Here is a 20,021-nt window from a genome sequence, read left to right on the forward strand (position 1 = left end):
TCCCAACAAAGAAAAGTCCCAAACTGGATGGCTCCCCTACTAAATTCTACCAAATGTATAAAGAACTAACACTAATTTTCTTCAAACTATTTAAACAAATTAAAGGGAAGGGAATTCTCCCTAACTCATTCTATGAGGCCAGCATTATCCTTATTCCGAAAACAGACAAGGATGCAACAACAAAAAAACAAATTACAGACCCAAATCTCTGATGAACATAGACCCAAAAATCCTCTAACAAAATACCAGCAAACTGAATCCAACAGCATATAAAACAATAATACAACATGGTCAAATGAGATTTATACAAGGGATACACGGATGGTTCAACACATAGAAATCAACAAATGTGATATATCATATCAATAGAATGAACAACTAAACCACAGGACCATCTTAATAGATGTAGAAGAAGCATTTGATAAAATTTAACATCCCTTATGATAAAAACTCTCAGCAAACTGAGCATAAAAGAAACATACCTTAACATAATAAATGCCACATACGACAAACCCACAGCTAACATCATACTGAATGTGAAAAAGTCGAAAGCCTTTTCTCTAAGAACTGGAACAAGAAAAAAATGTTCATTCTCACCACTTCTTTTCAACATAGTACTGGAAGTCCTAGCCAGAGCAATCAGGCAAGAGAAAAAGATAAAAGGCATCCAAATTGGAAAAGAGAAAGTAAAACTGTTCTTCTTTGTTGATAATATGATCTTATATCTGGAAAAACAAAAGACTCCACCAAAAAAAGCTCTTTTAGAACTGGTAAACTAATTTAGTAAAATTGTAGGACAAAATATCAGCATGCAAAAGCCAGTAGTGTTTTTATATACCAATAATGAAATACGTAAAAAGAACAGGAAAGCAATTCTATTTACACTAACTACAAAAAAATAGCAATAACAACAACATGTCTAGGAATAAATTTAACCAAGGAGGTAAAAGACCTTTACAAGAAAAACTTCAAAACTTGATGAAAGAAATCGAAGAGGACACCAACAAATGGAAAGACACCCCATGCTCATGGATCAGAAGATTTAATATTGTTAAAATTATCATACTACCCAAAACGATGTACAGATTCAATGCAATCCCTATCAAAAGAGCAAGGTTTTAAAGAAATTGGAAAACAATCTTAAAATTTGTATGGAACCAAAAAAGAGCCCAAATAACCAAAGGAATTTTGAACAAAAAGAACAAAGCTGGAGGCATCACACTGCCTGTCTTCAAAATACAAGACTATAGTAACCAAAACAACATAATATTGGTATAAAAAAACAGATACATAGACCAACAGAGCAGAATAGAGAACCCAGAAACAAATCTATTATTTTCAGCCAACTGATTTTCAACAAAGGCATCCAGAACATACACTTGGAAAAGGACACCCTTTTAAATAAATGGTGCTGGGAAAACTGGATACCCATACGCAGAAGAATAAAACTAGACCCCATCTCTCACCTATGCAAAAATTAACTCAATATGCATTAAAGACTTAAACATAAGACCTGAAAGTATAAAACTACTGGAAGAAAACACAGGGGAAACACTTCAGGACATTGGTCTAGGCAAAGTTTTTTTTTGTTTTTTTTTTTTGTTGTTTTTTTGAGATGGAGTCTCGCTCTGTCACCCAGGCTGGAGTGCAGTGGCGCGATCTCGACTCACTGCAACCTCTGCCTCCTGGGTTCACACGATTCTCCTGCCTCCTGAGTAGCTGGGACTACAGGCGCCCGCCACCACGCCCGGCTAATTTTTTGTATTTTTAGTAGAGACAGGGTTTCACCGTGTTAGCCAGGATGGTCTCGATCTGATCTAGGCAAAGATTTTATGGCTAAGACCTCGAAAGCACAGGCAACGAAAACAAAAAATAGACAAATGGGACTATATTAAACTAAGAAGCTTCTTTTCTGCACAGTGAAGGAAACAATCAACAGAGTGAAGGAGACAATCAACAGAGTGAAAGAGAAAATATTTGCCAACTATTCATCCAACAGAGGACTAATATCCAGCAGATAAGAAACTCAAACTAGTCAATGGTAAAAAAAAAAAAAAAAAATTAAATAATTTCATTAAGAAATGGGCAAAGGACATGAATAGACATTTTTCTAAAGGAGATATACAAATGGTCAATAGGTAAAAAAAAAAGGTCAACATTACCAATCATCAGGAATATGGAAATCAAAACCACAATGAGATATCATCTTACCGCAATTAGAATAGCCATTATGAAAAAGACAGAAAATAGCAGATGCTACTGAGGATGCAGAGAAATGGGAACTCTTATACACTGTTGGTGGGAATGTAAATTAGTACAGCCACTATGCAAAACAGTATGGAAATTTCTTAAAAAACTAAAATTCCAGCAATTCCGCTACTGGGTATTTATCCAAAGGAAAGGAAATCAGTGTATCTAAAGGATAACTGTGCCCCCATATTTATGGCAGCACTATTCACAGTAGCAAAGATATGGAGTCAACCTAAGTGTCCATCAACAGATGAGTAGATAAAGAAAATGTGGTATATATACACACAATAGAATACTATTCAGCCATAAAAAAGAATAAAATCCTTTTTATTCATCCATGTTGTCATTTGGAGCAACATGGATGAAATCAGAGGTCATTATGTTAAGTGAAATAAGGCAGGCACAGAAAGACAAATATCATGTGTTCTCATCAATATGTGGGAGCTAAAAAAAAATTGATCGCATGAAGGTAGACAATGGAATGATAGCTATCAGAGACTGGGAAGGGTATGTTGGGGCAGGGGGAGGATGAAGAGAGGTTGGTTAATGGGAACAAACATATAGTCAGAGAGGAGGAATAAGTTCTAATATTCAACAGCAGAGGAGGGTGACTATAGTTAACAACAATGTATTGTATATCTCAAAATAAATAGCTAGAAGAGAAGAATTGAAATCTTACCAACACATAGGAATGATAAATACTTGAGGGGACGGATAGCCCAAATACAATGACTTGATCATTACACATTCTATGAATGTAACAAGATTTCACATGTACCCCACAAATACGTTCAAAGATAATGTATCAATAACACATTATTGTTTTTTAAAGAGGAACCCCAGGTCTCATCTAGCTATGCAAAGACTTCCCCATTCCTTCAGCCACAGTGAGGGTACAGCTCTGCAAAGATCTGCCAGGCACAGTTGGGCAGGTTGTTCTGCAATAGAGCCCTCAGCCAAGGGACCAGTGGGGATTGAAATCCAGGCTGCTCTCTGCTTTCCAAGCATGGTGTCCAACCATGGACACCTACTCAGAGGTAGTGAAGGGAGATTTCCCTGTTTTACTGAAAGGTATATCTCTCTCCTGTGTCATATGCCTGAAGGGGGTGCCTTTTTCTAATTTGTCATGAAGGCACCTTCTATGCTACTGGAGCCCTGCTTCAGCAGCTGGTGAGTTGCTTACTGCAAAGTAGGCTTCAATTTCATAAATTAAAATGCCACACTGAAGCGTTGCCCTCTCATAAACCCATCACCTCTGACCTAGATCCTCATGTGGATTACACAGTGGCCTCACAGCATGAAATTCTGCCCAGGCTTGGATGGGGCTGCCCCACTGCTTTTCCATGGGTCATTTAGACAGATCGCTTTGTTTCTCTGTTCCTCCCATCGTTGCCTTGGAATGAGGGAGCTGAACCAGGTGACAGTGGTGTCCTTCCTGGTTATGACATGCTATGGCTCATAATTCTGTGAAAGGCAATACATCATGGAATGGGTCAGATTTGAAAGTCTAGTCTGGGCTTTTCTCTGTATAATTTTATATTTCTTCTCTCTGGTCATTTTGTTAGCTCTCACTAACACCTGTGGTGATCAGACAACCACAGGTATCCAAAGAAAAAAGATTTCAGCTTGAGATAAAAGACTAGTGAATATAAACGAACATCAAGTATCTTCCTCTCCCTCAGTTTACTTTCTTATTCAAACACACAAATACACATGTATGTGTGTGCACGCACACACACACACATAAACACACGCATTTACATATACTTACACATGTTGAGCTTATGACAGAGCTTTTTTTAATTTCAAAGCAGTATGGTATAATTTCCCAGATATAATCATTTAATGCACTTAAATTTGTTTCTCTAAAACCCAGAAGCAACTAAATTGCCAAGAATTCATGCCTGAGGCATTTCTATCTACATGTCTCAGTATAAAATGTTCGAAGGAAGTAGCTCATATTTATAAATGAGTTGGTTTGCCTCCCCAAGTCTCCTCATGGTAAGTACCATCAAAAACCTCACAAATCATCCATACCACCCACTATCGTCTTTGTGACACAAAGGAAGCCCTGCTCCATTCAAACATTCTCTACATCCTCCATAAGCCCCATGGGTTTCCAATCTTTATTTTTTTCATAAAGTAAATGACTTCCCAGGTAATAGAGGCAGATAGATAGATACATACACATTTTATTGTTTGTGCTGACAGGTTATAAGGAGTAGAGAGAAGAGTGGAGATGGAAAGGCGGTGTGGAGAACATCAGCCTTGTTGGATTACACATATGAAAATGAGGGAGAGAGAAATGGGGAACAGGGAAAATAAAGGAATTCAGTTGACATGGATTTGGCACTCACCCAGCACTGTATGTGCCATTGCTACTAGAGTGTCTTCCTGGATGTCCCATAGGCACCTGATGATCAATAAGTCCCAAATTGGCTTCAGTCCCCACTTGCTGTGCAGACATGCCCTGCCTGTCCCTGTGCACAGAACAGCCATCTATCCAGGGATGTTCATATATATCATCTCATTCAATCCTCACATCCACCCATAAAATAGAAATTATCACCCCTAGTCAATACATGAAGAAACTGAAGCTCAGAGAGGCTAAGTGCAACAGCTCGGGCTGCCATAATAAAATACCATGGGTGGGGCGATTTAAACAACAGACATTTATTTTCTTACAGTTCTAGAGGCTAGAAGTCCAAGATCAAGGTGTTGGCAGAGCTAGCTCCTCCTGAGGGCTGTGAGAGACTCACTCCTTGGCTTGTTGATGGCTGTCTTTTCCCTGTGTCTCCTTGTATCATCTTTCCTCTGCACGGCTCTGTGTTCACTTTTCTCTTTTTATAAGGACACCAGTCATGTTGGATTACAGCCCACCTTAATGACCTCATTTTAGCTTGACTACCTTTGAAAAGAACCTATCTCTAAATAAAGCCACATTCTGAAAACTGGGGTTTAGGATTTCAATATATGGATTTGGGAGCAGAGGAAACATTTCAGTCCATAACACTACCTAACCCCCAAAGACTTCTATAGGAGGAAACATTTGAAGAAAGGAGTTGGCTAGGTGAAAATAGAGGCAGTAGGCAGGAATGAGAGAAGAGTTCCAGGGACAGGGATCACTATATACAAAGGAAAGAAGGGGAAGGAGCAGGACACAGCCTGATGCCGCTCATGGTAGGAGCGTTCACATTCACATGCCACTCACAGCCCAGCCCAGCAGGGTCTGATTGCCAGGCCATACCCCAGTGTCCTGGGACTTGCCAAACAAACCCACTGTTTCTTGTGGACCGAAAGTTGTTTCTGGTACATCAAAATGGAGGGGAGAGCTGAGTTTGGCTGGGGCAGAAGAAGTGATCCTAGGGGCCTTTGAGCTCTAAGAATAAGCAGAGCCAGGAAAGTGGGGAGACTCAGTTATGAGCAGACACAGTGAAGAGCAGTACTTAGAGGAAAACCTGAACAGAATTTAAAACTAAAGCCTCAAACGCTGCGAGCTCCCCCGCCCACAACAGCCCTTGTCAGAGAGCCCAGAAGGGCATGAAAGGAGGAGGAGAGAGAGGGAGGAGGGAAGAAACTGTATTTCCCTTACCTCACAGTCTTCCCTTCTCTGGGGACCCACAGAAAGATGCACTGACTATAAAATAGGGGCTTTTAAAACTATTAGGCAACATGGAATAAAGTGTCAGAGGCAGCCAAACCAAAACCACTTGAATAAGAGCATCACTAACTGCGAGGCTGGGGCGTGGCTTCATTTTATTCCAAGCCTTTGGCACACAACACAGAATCTGGCACGTGGTAGGAATCTGACAAATACTTGGATGTTTGTTTGTTTTCTTACCTAAGAGGACATCCCAAGGATACCAAGCGTTTCTAGGTGAATCCTGTGACTCCATCCCTAGCCTGAGAGACCTGCCTCCAGGAAGGAAGAGATTATTGCAGTTCCCTCTATTTTAAAATCTTTTCAATGCCGATTTTGTTTTTGATATATTATTATTGCCTGAGGCTTTAGTCAGGAGACTGAGATCACACAAAGCACAGATCTTAGAATTTAATAGCTTTTCTCAAGAATGAAATCAGATTCTTTCTGAAAAATATCTAAAAGACATGCCTTATTACATAAGGAGAGCATGCTTCATGTGAAGATGTGGATATTTTTAGAGCATGTGTTTTGAATTTTATATTTGTGGTCCTATTTACCTGGATGAGTCACATTTAAAACGTTCCCAAATTTCTTGCCTTTAAACCCTAAGCTTCTTGTGGCTTTGAGGAACATTTGCTCAGATTACTCACAACACAAATCTTCCTGTCATTAAACTACTACACTTTGTACTGAGTGGCATATAATACATAGAAATTGTCAGACAAGCTGGATTATTCGTCCCCAAAGGAGCAGTTCTTAGTAAATGAATTACACCAAGAAATTGCTGGGGCCTACAACATTCCTTTTTTGGTTTGTTTTTGGGTTTTTGTTTTTGTTTGTATCCTCTCTAAAAGGTGGCTTCAGGCTATGTTAGCAGGAGAGTGGAGAGAAACCAAGTGAGGCCTAGAGGTCTTTGGGTACAGGAATGCAGTTTCAAAATCCTAGTGAAAGCTGCTAAGAATTCAGAGAAAGTGGCAGAGAGGAAAGACACATTTAACATTTGCTACCTAAGGTACAGCTGGAAATAATATGGAACAGATGGATCAGAACTGAAAACATGGATTGAGGAAGAGGCATGCTGGATAATTTTTGAATGGATGCTAGACATTGGCAGCTTTACTTTGTTGAGTGCTGAATATTTGTATATTCCTATAAACATGCATGAGATTTGTCCTAACAATTAAGTTATCTAGACACACTTTGATCTTTCTGGGTCTTGATTTTAAGGTTTTTCTTTAGGTGAGACCAGAGCATCATTTATTCTAGACCTAATTTTGCTCCTCTTTTGAGGCAAAGACCTTTTCAATACACCATCTGATGCCCAGTGAATTAAGAGGTTTTGTACTGTGGCTGGTAGATCAGAAATTATTCCTGGTTCTGTGTGAGCCTCAGCTATGTTCCCTCTAATCCTGTTGGTTGGTTTGTATACCGACCTCAGATAGTTTCTTATCTTACATGTGCCAATCAGTATGGAGCTAAAGACCCAAAGGGAACCTTCCACAGACCTCTGGAGTTCCCTTAGCATGCAGATTTTTCCTCTCTGCAACTCTGCCCCAAGAACTCCAGCTGACTCCACCTTCCCAGACTCCCTGCTTCATCTCCTCCACTCAGAGAGAACACTGGGCCCTTCTGCTTTCCACTTCCCTGTGGCACAGCTTGGACATTCTCTCCAGGCGGTAACCTAGGGCAACTGTCCATAGGAATTACTGTCCTGCATTGCTGATGTCCATGGTCTTGGTTGTTTCATATATTTTCTCCAGATTTTTTTCAGGAGGAAAGTAAGTCCTGTCCCTATTACTCCATCTTTGGCTGAAGTGAAAGTCAACTATATGTTCAATTGCCTTTTTAAAAAAATTTGACACATTGTAATTGTACATAGTTATGGTGTGCAATTTAGGGTTTCAATACATATATATGTTGTATAACAATAAAATCAGAGTAGTTAGTATATCCATCACCTCATGCATTCATCATTTCTCTGTGGTGAGAATATTCAAAAGCTTCTCTCCTAGCTATTTTGTAACAGTCACCCTCCTGTGCAATAGAACAGCGGTACTTATTCCTCCTATCTAATTATAACTTTGTACCGTGGACCACTCTCTCTCCATTCTTCCCCACTCCCCTCTCTAGTCTCTGGTAACCACTGTTTACTCTCTGTTTCTTTCTTTTTTTTTTTTTCTTTAGAGGTAAGGTCTCACTCTGTTGCCCTGGCTGGAGTGCAGCAGCATAATCATAGCTCACTGCAGCCTCAAACTCCTGGGCTCAAGTGATCCTCCTGCCTCAACCTCCCGTCTACTCTCTGCTTCTATGATATCTATTTTTTTGAGACGGAGTCTCACTCTGTCACCCAGGCTAGAGTGCAGTGGCATGATCTTGGCTTACTGCAACCTCTTCCTCCCAGGTTCAAGTGAATCTTGTGCCTCAGCCTCCCGAGTAGCTGGGATTACAGGTGCACATCACCATGCCCAGTTAATTTTTGTATTTTTAGTAGATATGGGGGTTTCCTCATGTTGGCCAGGCTGGTCTTGAACTCTTGATCTCAAGTGATCCTCCCTCCTAGGCCTCCCAAAGTGTTGGGATTACAGGCGTGAGCCACCATGCCTAGCCTTTCAATTTTTTTTAGATTCTACATATGAGTGATATCATATAGTATTTGTCTTTTTGCATCTGGCTTATTTCACTTAATAAAATGTCTTCCAGATTCATCCAGGTTGTCACAAATGACAGGATTTCATTCTTTTTGTATGGTTGAATAATATTCTATTCTGTATGTATACCACATTTTCTTTATCCATTCATCCATTGTTGGGCGCTTACATTGATTCCATATTTTTGCTGTTGTCACTTGCTTTTATAAGCAAGTCCAGAACCATAGACAGAACCAGCTTAGGTCAGTCTGTCTCAATAGAATTTTTACATTTGTGTCAGTTTCCATTTTCCTTGATGTATTAGTCTGTTCTCACGTGGCTATAAAGAAATACCTGAGACTGGGTAATTTATAAAGAAAAGAGGTTTAATTGAGTCACAGTTCTACATGGCTGGGGAGGCTCAGGAAACTTACAATCATGGCAGAAGGCACCTCTTCACAGGGCCACAGGAGACAGAATGAGTGCTGAGTGAAGGGGCAAGCCCCTTATAAAACCATCAGATCTTGTGAGGACTCACTCACTATCATGAGAACAGCATGGGGGAATCACCCCCATGATTCAATTATCTCCACCTGGTGCCACCCTTGACACATGGGGATTATTACAGTTCAGGATGAGATTTGGGTGGGGACACAGAGCCAAACCATATCACTTGACATTGCCTCATCTTTCTGTTTAGTTAATAATAAGTAGTCTTCATGATCGCCGCTTATTATCTTTTCTGCTCATTGTAATATCCTTCCTGAAAAGACTAGTACTAGGCAATGGTGTTTAAGTAATAAAACAAAGATTAAAGTGTCTTTAGTTAGACAAACATGGCTTTCATTGCTACCTCTTCCACTCCCTATGTGACTTTTGACAAGTGTTTTAATCTCAAAGGGACTGTCTCTGTCAACAAAATGGACAAGGGTGTAAGATGTGTTGAGAAAAAGACTTTTAATTTATGCTATCCATGCATCTGTATTTTGTTACATGAAAGATGTAATTTTAATTTAAAATAACAAAGTATTTTAAATACTTTGTTAAATAAATGGTAGTGATAATATCTCATCAACAGGGCCATCATGAGTATTAATTGAAATAATATGCATGCTTAATGTGTTATAACTTGGCCCATCTTTCCACTGTTCCAAGTACAGAACAATCATACTCTAAATGGCCAGTTGAGTTTCACAGATAATAAAAATGTGTTTTCTGTAAAGGGTCCAATTTGCTTTCTTTTTCTTCTACACAACCCTGGGAGCACTCCTAAGAGACCATGTGGGTTCAATGTGAATGGCTTGGAATTCCTTAAGTGTGTATGGATGTTGCTGTACAGTTTTCCACTGAGTGACCTCTGATTGGACAAAACTCAAAAAGTGCTGGCAAAGGAAGATTTTAAGCCATCTTTAAAATGAATGGGGATTTGGGTTCATGGTGGTAACTAGTTGAAGAGAGATAAGAGAAGAAATATAGCCTGACTGGAAAGAAAAGAATATCAACTTGGTGATTAATATTTATTGCATGCCTGCAATTCTTCTTGAACTAGTCACTACCTCTCATTCTTTGAATTCCTGAGTCATACCTTACTCTGTTTTCTTCTACATGCCAACTCCTGCACTCTTTTTGTCTGGCCCTTAAAATGGCCTCAGAATCCCTCTCAATACTGCACTGAGGCAGCCAGAATGTTCAGGCTGAGTTGGCATAAAATCTGAAACCTATTTATCATCCTATGAACATTCATCCATTAGGCTTATCTGATCACCTAGCCTTTCAGTTCCTAGACCACTTCTTTTAATGACCTTGTTTCTACTTCAGCCATCCATTTACACCCTAGAAACTGTCACTAGTTGGAACAGTTATCTTAATATCCTCCCAGATTGCAATATTCAAAATTTCCAGTGTTCTCATGACTCTATTTCTTTTGCCTTTGTTCTTTGACTATCGAGGTTCATTTTATCCAGAAATTCCTCTTTTATCTTTTCTTTCAAATTCTGGGCCACATGGTGAGATCCTAAACCAATTTCTGCCAGTATCTTCTAATTTCTTGCCACCACTTCTTCACCCTGTCCCTTGCTATATTCATCTAGCAAAACATGGTATGGGATTAGTACTGCAGTTTTATTTTTCCTTCTCCAAGAAGCTGAGGAGAAAATCCTACAACTGAAACAAGTCCAATTGTCCCATTCAACTGATTTCACTTGACCCATAGAACTGATACTATGGTTTCTTTTGAATAAACATAAAAATTGACTCTTCCAGTCTTAAAACTTAAGGAAGATAAATTTGTCTTATCTGAGTTCTTTCCCAGGAAACCAAACATCAGTCCTCCCAGATAGCATCAAGGAACTGGAACGTACCAGTTCACTCCATCTGGACAACATTCCAGACCCCTCACCCATCATGATTGCCTATCTGACCACTTGCTTTCTGTTGACCAACTCCTCTTCCCTACCCCTCCCTAATTCCTGTTTTCCTGCATGTTACATTTCTTCCCTGCTATATAAGTTCCTGGTTTTAGTTGGTCAGGGAGATGGATTTGAGACTGACGTCCCATCTTCCCAGCTGCAGTACCTAATTAAAGCCTTCTTCTCTGGAAATACTCTTGTCTCAGTGATTGGCTTTCTGTGAGGTGAGCAGCAGGACCTAGACTGAACCTTTGGTGTTTTGGGAACACAGCCTGCAGATTCATGCAACAGCAGACTCATGGCTCCAAACCTCAGCCTGGCTCTCCGTGTTGCCTTGTCAGTCAATTCTTGAACTTGACTTTGATCAGCTCTTCTTTCATTGCCTTCAATGACTCTTTCAAACTTTATCAGTTTCTTTAAAGCTCTCAATCCCTCCACCCTCAGCAAATAATCTTCTCTGTTATTTTGTTGAGAAGAACAAGGGAATATCATTTTTCTGATCTCTTCAGCTTTCTGAACTTTCCCTGCAAATATAGCTACAGCAGTGCCTGCCCTTACCATCAATGTATGGACCATGATAAATGACACTGTCCAGTTCATCATTATTCTTTCCAATCTGTTGTACTTGCTAGAGAACCTCAAAAGCCTTGCTGATCAAATCCACCCAAGTTCTTCCTACCAACTTCAGCTAGACCTGAGATGCCACCTACAGACCCTGGGGTCTACGTAGGGCATGTATACCTTTCTCAGGTCCTCAAGGCTGCTTTAGCACCTCTTACCTTCTGTGTCACTGAGCAGAAGGGGGACCTCTGAACCCCAGTTTTCCTCTTTGACCCCCCTTTTTTCCATCCTTGAGAGCTCTTCCTTTATGTTTACCACTTAGGAAGTAACCCCTCAATGACAGCCAATACTGCCACATGTCATTTACCTTATCCATCAATTATCTTTGCTATCATTTGAATTTTTCACCTCTCCAGATTGTCTTTATATTGAAGACACTTATAGCCTTAAAAATAAAGTGGAAACTTTCTACCCAATCAAGTTGCCTCCTCTTCTTTCTCCTTCATTTTGTCAAAAAAACCTTTGCATGTCTTTACTATTGACCTCCATTTCCTTAAAACCAATTTCTTCCCTAACCCCTTAAAATGTAGCTTCTGTCCTGTCTTACTGAAACTCTTCTTTGGAAAATTAAAAGTAACCCATAAAGCCAAGAGTCTGTCCTCTGCTATTATCCACGTAAACCCCACACTGAAATAGCTGTAATTTTTTTTACCATCCTGTTCTTTAAAAATTTTTTTTCCTCTAAAATAAAATATGTATACAAATGTGCAAGCTACATGAATACACAGCTTGATGGATTGTTATCCATGTAATCACTTCCCAGGACAAGAAATTAAACAATGCCAGTCTCCCAGCTGCGACCCTTCCAGTTCCCATCCTGCCCTCCTCAAGGCAACCACTACCCTTGTTTCTACATCACTTACTTGCTTGCCTTTTCTTACTCTTTTGCCACTAGTGTGCACCCCTAAATACTTAGTTTTGTCTATCAATTGGAACCAAACAGTATATTCTTTTTTTTCTTGAGACAGAATCTCACTCTGTCACCCAGGCTGGAGTGCAGTGGCATGATCTCGGCTCACAGCAACCTCCACCTCCCGAGTTCAAGTGATTCTCCTGCCTTGGCCTCCCAAGTAGCTGGGATTACAGGTGCCCGCCACCATGCCTGGCTAATTTTTTGTATTTTTAGTAGAGACACGGTTTCGCCTTGTTGGCCAGGAGGGTCTCGAACTCCTGAGCTCAGGTGATCCACCTGCCTCGGCCTCCCAAAGTGCTGGGATTACAGGTATGAGCCACTGTGCCTGGCCCCAAACAGTATATTCTGTTTGGTTATAATAATATTTTGGATCTGGCTTCTTTCAGCCAACATTATATTTGTGAGATTTATTTGTTTTCCTGCATTTAGATGCAGTTTAGTTATTTTTATTGCTCTTATAGTGTTTCACACAATATACCACAATTTATTTATCCATCCTACTGTTGATGGCCATTTGCGTTGTTTCCAGATGGAGGTAGGATGAATAGTGTTGCTCTAAACATTCTTGTGTATGTCTTTTGATGTGTGGGCACACATTTCTTCTGGAGATATGCCTAAGAGTGGAATTACTGAGGAATAGATTGCATTATCCAGTACTTTAGTAAACAGTGCCACACAGTTCTCCAGAGTGTTGTGTTTGTCTTCATTTACACTCCCACCAGCAGTATATCAGTTTCTATAGTTCTAAATCCTCACCAAAACTTGGCATAATCAGTCTTATTAATTTTGGCCATAAAGGTAGTTGTATAATATTTTAAATTTGCTTTCCAATGATTGTTAGTTGATATCCTTTCACACATTTTGGACATTTGGATATTCTTTATTTATAAAGTACCTTTTCAAGTCTCTTGCCTGTTTATCCTTTGTACTGCCTTTCATTTTCTTATTTATTTGTAGTAGTTGTTCATATAGTCTCCATTATGTTCAGTGTCAGTTACCTGTGTTGTCAATATCTTCTCCAATCTGTGGCTTGCCTTTTCACTATCTTAATGGTTACTTTTGAAGGACAGAAAATGTTAACATTAATTAAATTGTTCCATATTTTCCTTAACAGCTAGTGGTTTTAGTCTCCTGTTTAAAAAGTATTCTCTAACTCCTGTTCTTGAAGTTTTTTCTTCTCAATGTTTCAGGGACCCTGCATTTTTCTCAGTTCTTTTCTCCTTTCTAAAGTTCCATCTCAGTTTCCTTCATGGGTTTTTCTTCCTTTCCCCATATTCCGTGTGGCTACCTCAGTATAAGGTGCTGTCCTCTGCCTCTTTGCTCTATGCTCTTTCTCCTCAACATTCACCTCTCAGCAGATCCACTCCTCTCCCTAGCACCAGACTGGCATATCTGTGTGCTGGGCCATTCAAGTCAACAGTTCAGTTCTTTGATATCTATTGAGAAATTTCTCAGTATCAGGCTTTGTGCTGGGTGCTGGGACTACTCACATGAACATCACACAATCCTTTCCCTTGGGCAAACCACTGAATGAAGATACCTATAATCTAGTCACAGTGATACTCAAAATATTCCAGGCTCATCAACTCCCCCTATTCCCCAACATGCTCTTACTGATGGAGCAATGGCCCCATCATCTCTTTAAACACACAAGATGCGAGGGTCATGTTGAACTTCTCTTTCTACCCCATCTAATATCCAATGATGTGACAAGCCCTGTTTGTTTTAAGTCTACACTTTAAACTCCCATCTTCCCTTCTTTCCACCCCCTCTCCCCACCCTGTGGCCCTCACATTAAGTTCCTTACTATGCCTCTCATAGAGGGCTGAATTGGCCTCCTAAATGGTATCTCTACATCCAATTTCTTCCCCCTCACTCAGCAGGCTCCATTCTCATGGGTCATTTGCCTTGGGAACAGGCTTTCAAGGAACAATATTATCAGAGTGATTGTCTTCTTCCTATTATTCAGAAGTCTCTTTGAAGGAAAGAACTAAACAGAATCTTACTCATCTTTGAGAAATATCTACTTGTTCCATCAGTGAGTGTGGATTGTGAGGCTCTGAGTGCCTCATAAGTTGCCTGACTTGACAGATGTAAGCAGCAAACATCATACTGATGAGGATAGATAAGGGTCTAACATATGGTTTCAGCTCTAAGTGCCATGAAGCTCCTGAGAAATTCCCACTCTGGCCTTTGCAATAGATTCCAGAAAATCCTCTACTCTTCCAATTTTATCACATCCTTCAAAACTTTGTGATTCTGGATTACATTTCATTAGGATATTTGTTCTTTACTCTTTGAAAATGGGAAGTACCAGAATAATTTGTCTATGTTGCTCACTTAATCAAAAACTTTCCATGAACAACTCCTCACAGCCTGCAGCCAAGCTCCTTAGGATTTGGTCCAATCTGCTTTCTTGGCTTGTTCTCCTACTTAGCATACTTACCACCAATCAGATTCCTGCCCATATTCTATTTGTATTGTGTGCATTCTGGTCTTTGATCAAGTTGTCACATCTGTCTACAAAGCCTTCCTGCTCCATCTTGGCATGTCCAGATCTTACATCTCCTTCAAATCTCAGCTCAAATGCCTCCTCTTCCATGAGGTTTAAGGGAGGTCTTTTAACCAGAAGCACATATTCCCTTTCTGAACCTCCAGCATTTAATTTTTATCTCCGACCACACCAACCACCCTCCCCTTATGGTAGCTGGCTGGTTACCTATCACTTGTCTTTCCAGGACAGACCTGTGTCATTCTCATCTTTGTGTTCCTTACAAAGCCTTGTAGATTGCTTCCCACAAGGCGGATACTCAGTAACCATTTGCTGCATGATTAGGATATATATTGAGAACATGTGACAGGCAAAACTCAGTAGTAGGCACTATAGAGATATATAAATACAATTCCATTTCTGCTCAAAACATGTACAATCAAGTAAGGCATTTACATATGTACTACACAGTAAACATTAGCATGTTATACATTTCATAAAAAAGCTTTGAAATGCTGTAACTTTAATCCTTTAAACCCATCTTTTTCAACTTACAAAACACACAGAACTTTTAAAAGAAACTATTGCAGCATTCACTTGAGTTATTTTTATCATGCTATTATTCAAATAAGAACAAACATAAAGCTTATGGTTATAGCATGTGATACCTATAAAATCAAGACACACTTATAAATTGTAACCAAGCAAAATTATTCTTTATTGTGTCAACTGTTTCGGGCTACAAGATGCCTTGAACAAGCTAGGAGGAGCTTGATGGAGAGTGATCTGGGGTCAGGGAGACTATTGGTTGGGAGCCCCCATTCCTGGGAAGTAGAGCTTTAGGCTAGGGTATATATCAGAGTCTGCATCTTTGATGTGATGCAATGGGTGAGAAAGAGAAGTGGCAGAGGCAGCCAAGCAGAGGAAATCCTCAAGAAGAGGGATTCTAGCAGCCACAAAGAGGCATAAAGACCAGGATAGACCCCAGGAAGCATAGGAAAAGAGCATCTCAGAAAAATGCTTTTGGGCAACATTTAGTTTGAGCTTGTGCTCTCTCTTAGACTCTCTGCTAAAGACTTCCCATTAATGCCATTATTTAATCCTCACAGTAAACCACAAGAGAGGCACTATCATTAGTCATGGATCAGGAAATGAGCATTAAGGAAATTCCATAATTTCCATCAAGTGCAAAACTGGCAAGTGAGAGAGCCTGAATTTGAATCCAGATTTACCTGACCCTAGAGTCTGAGCCTGTAACCAGTATGCAGGACCACCTCTTGGCTGGCTCCTGGCCTCCTGGCCCCATGTATTTGTTTTCTTTTATTTCTAAATGGCAGCTGGGGAATGTTACCAGGAAAGTAAACTCCCTGAGTCATTCAGGATTGGGCACCAACCCAAGCATGCCTGTACCCTCCAGGGAAATGTGGGGAGGAAGAGGGAGGAAAGCAGAGATGGAACGTGTTTTAGAGGGGGCCTCAGGCAAGTCATGCTCACAGGGACCGAATTTCAGAAGGACCCCCTGAGATTTCTCATAGAACATTTGGTTTCAACTCCAAATATCTTTTAAGTTTGCACTGTGCACCTATCACTGTGTTTAGTGTTTGGTTGATTCAGGATTTTTGAATTACCCCAGAAGTGATTACAGCTCCCACACACATGAGCAGGATATGCTGAGTGTGTGAAAGAGAAGTCTGGGGTTTGACAGGATGGTGTTTATTAGAGCCATTTAGGAAGAAAAGAGAGAGCTCCCTTCTGAGTTGTTGCTGCTGACACCAATCTGTGCATTCACACTGAGGACAAGTTTGATGACAAATCAGTAGCATGCATTCATATGCCTCTCAAGAGCATGTTTATAGAACCTACTGGTGTATAATACAATATGCAGATTCCAAAGAAATAGAAGTCAGAGTCCTTACTCCTCTCTCTAGTTGTTGATGACACAGCTGAGATTTAAGTTTATAGAGCAAAATAAACAACTCAGGCTCAAAATGGCACTAGCCATCCCTAGAAGTTACAGTGCCCACAGATAAGGCCAACTGCAGACTATGTACAGGAAGTACAGAGAAATGTCAGTTTCCACTCCCACCCCTCTTTGGAATCTTTCCCTTGAACCCACAAATCCAAATCGGGGGATAGAAATCTGAGTAAATATGCATTAGCTTCAGATTCTTTAATTCTATGGGACCCAGAATGGGCTTGCTGGGATGTTAGGGGCCTAATGCCCGAGTGTTCTAGGGGCTCCTGGGGATTAAGAGATAATCAGTATTGTCCTTGAGGGTAGGGACAGTATGTTTGGGCCCCCATCACCTAGAGCAGTGTCTGACACATAGCAGTTGTGTAATAAATGTTGGTTAATGAATCAACAAATGGTGTTCCAGGGACTTCAAACTTGGTGAAAGTGGCATGGTGGTCAAGTGATGAGTAGGAGAGAGTGGGGCAAAGCCTGGTAGCATTTGCCTGGAGCCCTACAAGATACCTGGTGAATGTAGATTCAAATCAGAGTGGCTAGGTTTCACCAGAGACCTCGTGCTGCTGCCCTCTTTCCTGAACAGATGCCATCCGACTATCTGATTTCATCAGGAAAACAGGAGGAAAAAATGATATTTTGCCTGAAGCCATTTTTAGAAGACGAGAGAGAATAGAGTCATTCTTGCCTGTCACTGCGGCTTGTTCAATTTAAACAAGCAAGATTCAGGAATGAGCAAACCATTAATGCAAAAGAAAAAAAATCAACATAAAATGCTCTGACGAGAACTCCTCTGTGTTCTTTTGAAAACATCATTTGGATGATAACTCAAAATTGGTTCACATTATCATTACCAGTTTGGGACACTTTGTTATCCATTTTAGTTCACTTATCTTATTTTTGACCCCAAGAAAGTACCGAGGCACCTTCTACTAGTCAAAAATTTAGGAAACAAATATCTTACCTTCACTGAAAAGGCATTTCGAATATAAAATAAGATGTGACAAGGTATCTTTCCTCCTTTAGATGCATAAGAAATTTTGCTTTGTTACTTATAGATTTTGTAATCTGTGATTCATGTTCAAAGAGAAAGCAGCAACCCACTGGGGAATTGCTCACATGAAAAGTGCACTTATTATATTAACTCCATTAGATGCACGTTAGAGTCTGTTCTCTGTATGGAAGGAGCTGAATAATAGCATACAAAATCACTGTTATTTGAGTTCCTGAGCAGCATCCTGGATTTCAAAATGACTCATAGAAAAATTATAAACAGCCCAAAGCTCACAAATTAGGGTAATAAAAAAAATCTCCATAATTTTTTCAATATGGTAGTATGACATGATTTTAGTAGTAGCCAAAGAAATAATCAATATTTAAAGATGTTTGTGACATGGAGAGCAAATGGGGGAAATGACCTATACTTGAATCAATTGGCAAGAGCTTGAAATACATTTTAAAATGGGGATTTCAAATCACCATCAAAGTATTTCTCTTAATTACTCATTTCCCTTGGAATTTACTGGAAGCATTTTCTACCTATGCTTATATTATCAATGACAAATGATACATTTAGTTCTGGGGAGCTACGATAAGGACTCACCCTTTGCATATCTATGTGTATATGTATTTATTTATATATAGATACATGTATACATAACATTTATATACATATACAAATATGTGTGCATTTTTCTTATCCTACCCTCTTCTGAATAAACTGTGAGGACAAATTGTCCTGGAGAGTCCTGGTACTAGAATAATATATTCATGAAGTGCAACAGTCATAATTTTATTCAAGTTTTGTTGTCTTTTCTCCCCCTGGGAAACTTCTGGAGGAATTAGATGTGTAAACCCAGAATACTGAGAAATTGCTAGTCAGAAAAAAATGGTTCTAATGAAACTGCCCTACTGATGAACTCTAACTTTCTCTATAGCTTCCTTAATAAAAACAACAGAGCAGCATTAATGTATTGCCTTTGCAGTTTCTTCACAAATTAAAATCCCTCTTTTTTTTTCTATCCAGAAGATCTGAAACTTCTATAAGCCCAGCATCTAAATCAGTTTTTGACTGAAATGAGTACAGGCAAGCTCTGAGGCAGCTCTATCCAGGGCTATGACAAGAATGAAGTGAACACATTTTACCCTACATGGAAATGTCCATTCCAACAAGTGCTAATTTGACAATGGTAATGATTACTATGGGTTGAATTGGATTATCCCAAAAGATATGTTAAAGTCCTAACCCCTGGTTCCTGTAAATGTGATTGTATTTGGAAATAGGATGGATGCAGATATCATTAGTTAACATACTGGAGTAGGGTGGATCTTTAATTAAATAAAACTGATGTCTTTGTAAGAAGAGAAGAGACACAGACACAGAGGGAAGATGACCATGTGAAGATGGAGGCAGAGATTGAAATTATGCTGCCACAAGCCAAGGAACTCTTGGGGCTACCAGAAGCTGGACGAGGGCAAGGGAGAATTGCCTGTAGAGCTTCGAAGGGGACATAGCTCTTCTATCAGCTTGATTTCAGAATTCCTGCCTCCAGAACTGCGAGACAAAAAAGCTCTGTTGTTTTAAGCCACCTAGTTTGTGTTACTTTGTTATGGCAGCCCTTGGAAATTAACAATGATTATAATAGTAATATGAATAATAGCAACAGCATCTCATTTACTGTTTTCTATGTGTTAATAACAATTCCAAGTGCTTTACACATATTATGGGCTTTAGGGTCTCATTTTACAGATAAGGAAGCAAGTAGAGAAAGCAAAAGAAAGACATTGAAACGTGCAATGGGGAAATTTGTTTCCATACAAATAAAACAAACCATCTGAGGAGCCTTCAAGAGTAGGCATCTTTCCATCACCAGCTTCCTGTTGGATGGGGTATCAGGAGACATGGCCTCTGGCCTTGATTTTGCCACACACTACCCTGTACTGTTTCTTGGAGATTGGATGATCTCAGAGGCGTCTCCCAGCCCTAAAACTCTAAGATTCCATTGAAAACTTGTAATTCAAGCAATCAAATAGTGAATGGTGACTTGCTAGGGACTGAGAGATGCCCTGAAGTCAGTGTGAGACACTTCCATGGGGCTGGTT

The 20,021-nt window shown here is 39.8% G+C and overlaps 1 long non-coding RNA gene across 1 annotated transcript in view; it reads left to right on the plus strand.

Moving 5' to 3' along the window:
- Positions 1 to 19,762, plus strand: part of SLC7A14-AS1 (SLC7A14 antisense RNA 1) — a 287,921-nt gene extending 268,159 nt beyond the window's left edge. Inside the window, exon 6 of the long non-coding RNA NR_135556.1 lies at positions 18,946 to 19,762. This is a non-coding gene — a long non-coding RNA (SLC7A14 antisense RNA 1). The remainder of the gene's footprint in view (positions 1 to 18,945) is intronic.
- The last annotated feature ends 259 nt before the right edge of the window (positions 19,763 to 20,021 follow it).

This window comes from Homo sapiens, chromosome 3 (assembly GCF_000001405.40).
Source record: "Homo sapiens chromosome 3, GRCh38.p14 Primary Assembly".
NCBI lineage: Eukaryota > Metazoa > Chordata > Mammalia > Primates > Hominidae > Homo > Homo sapiens.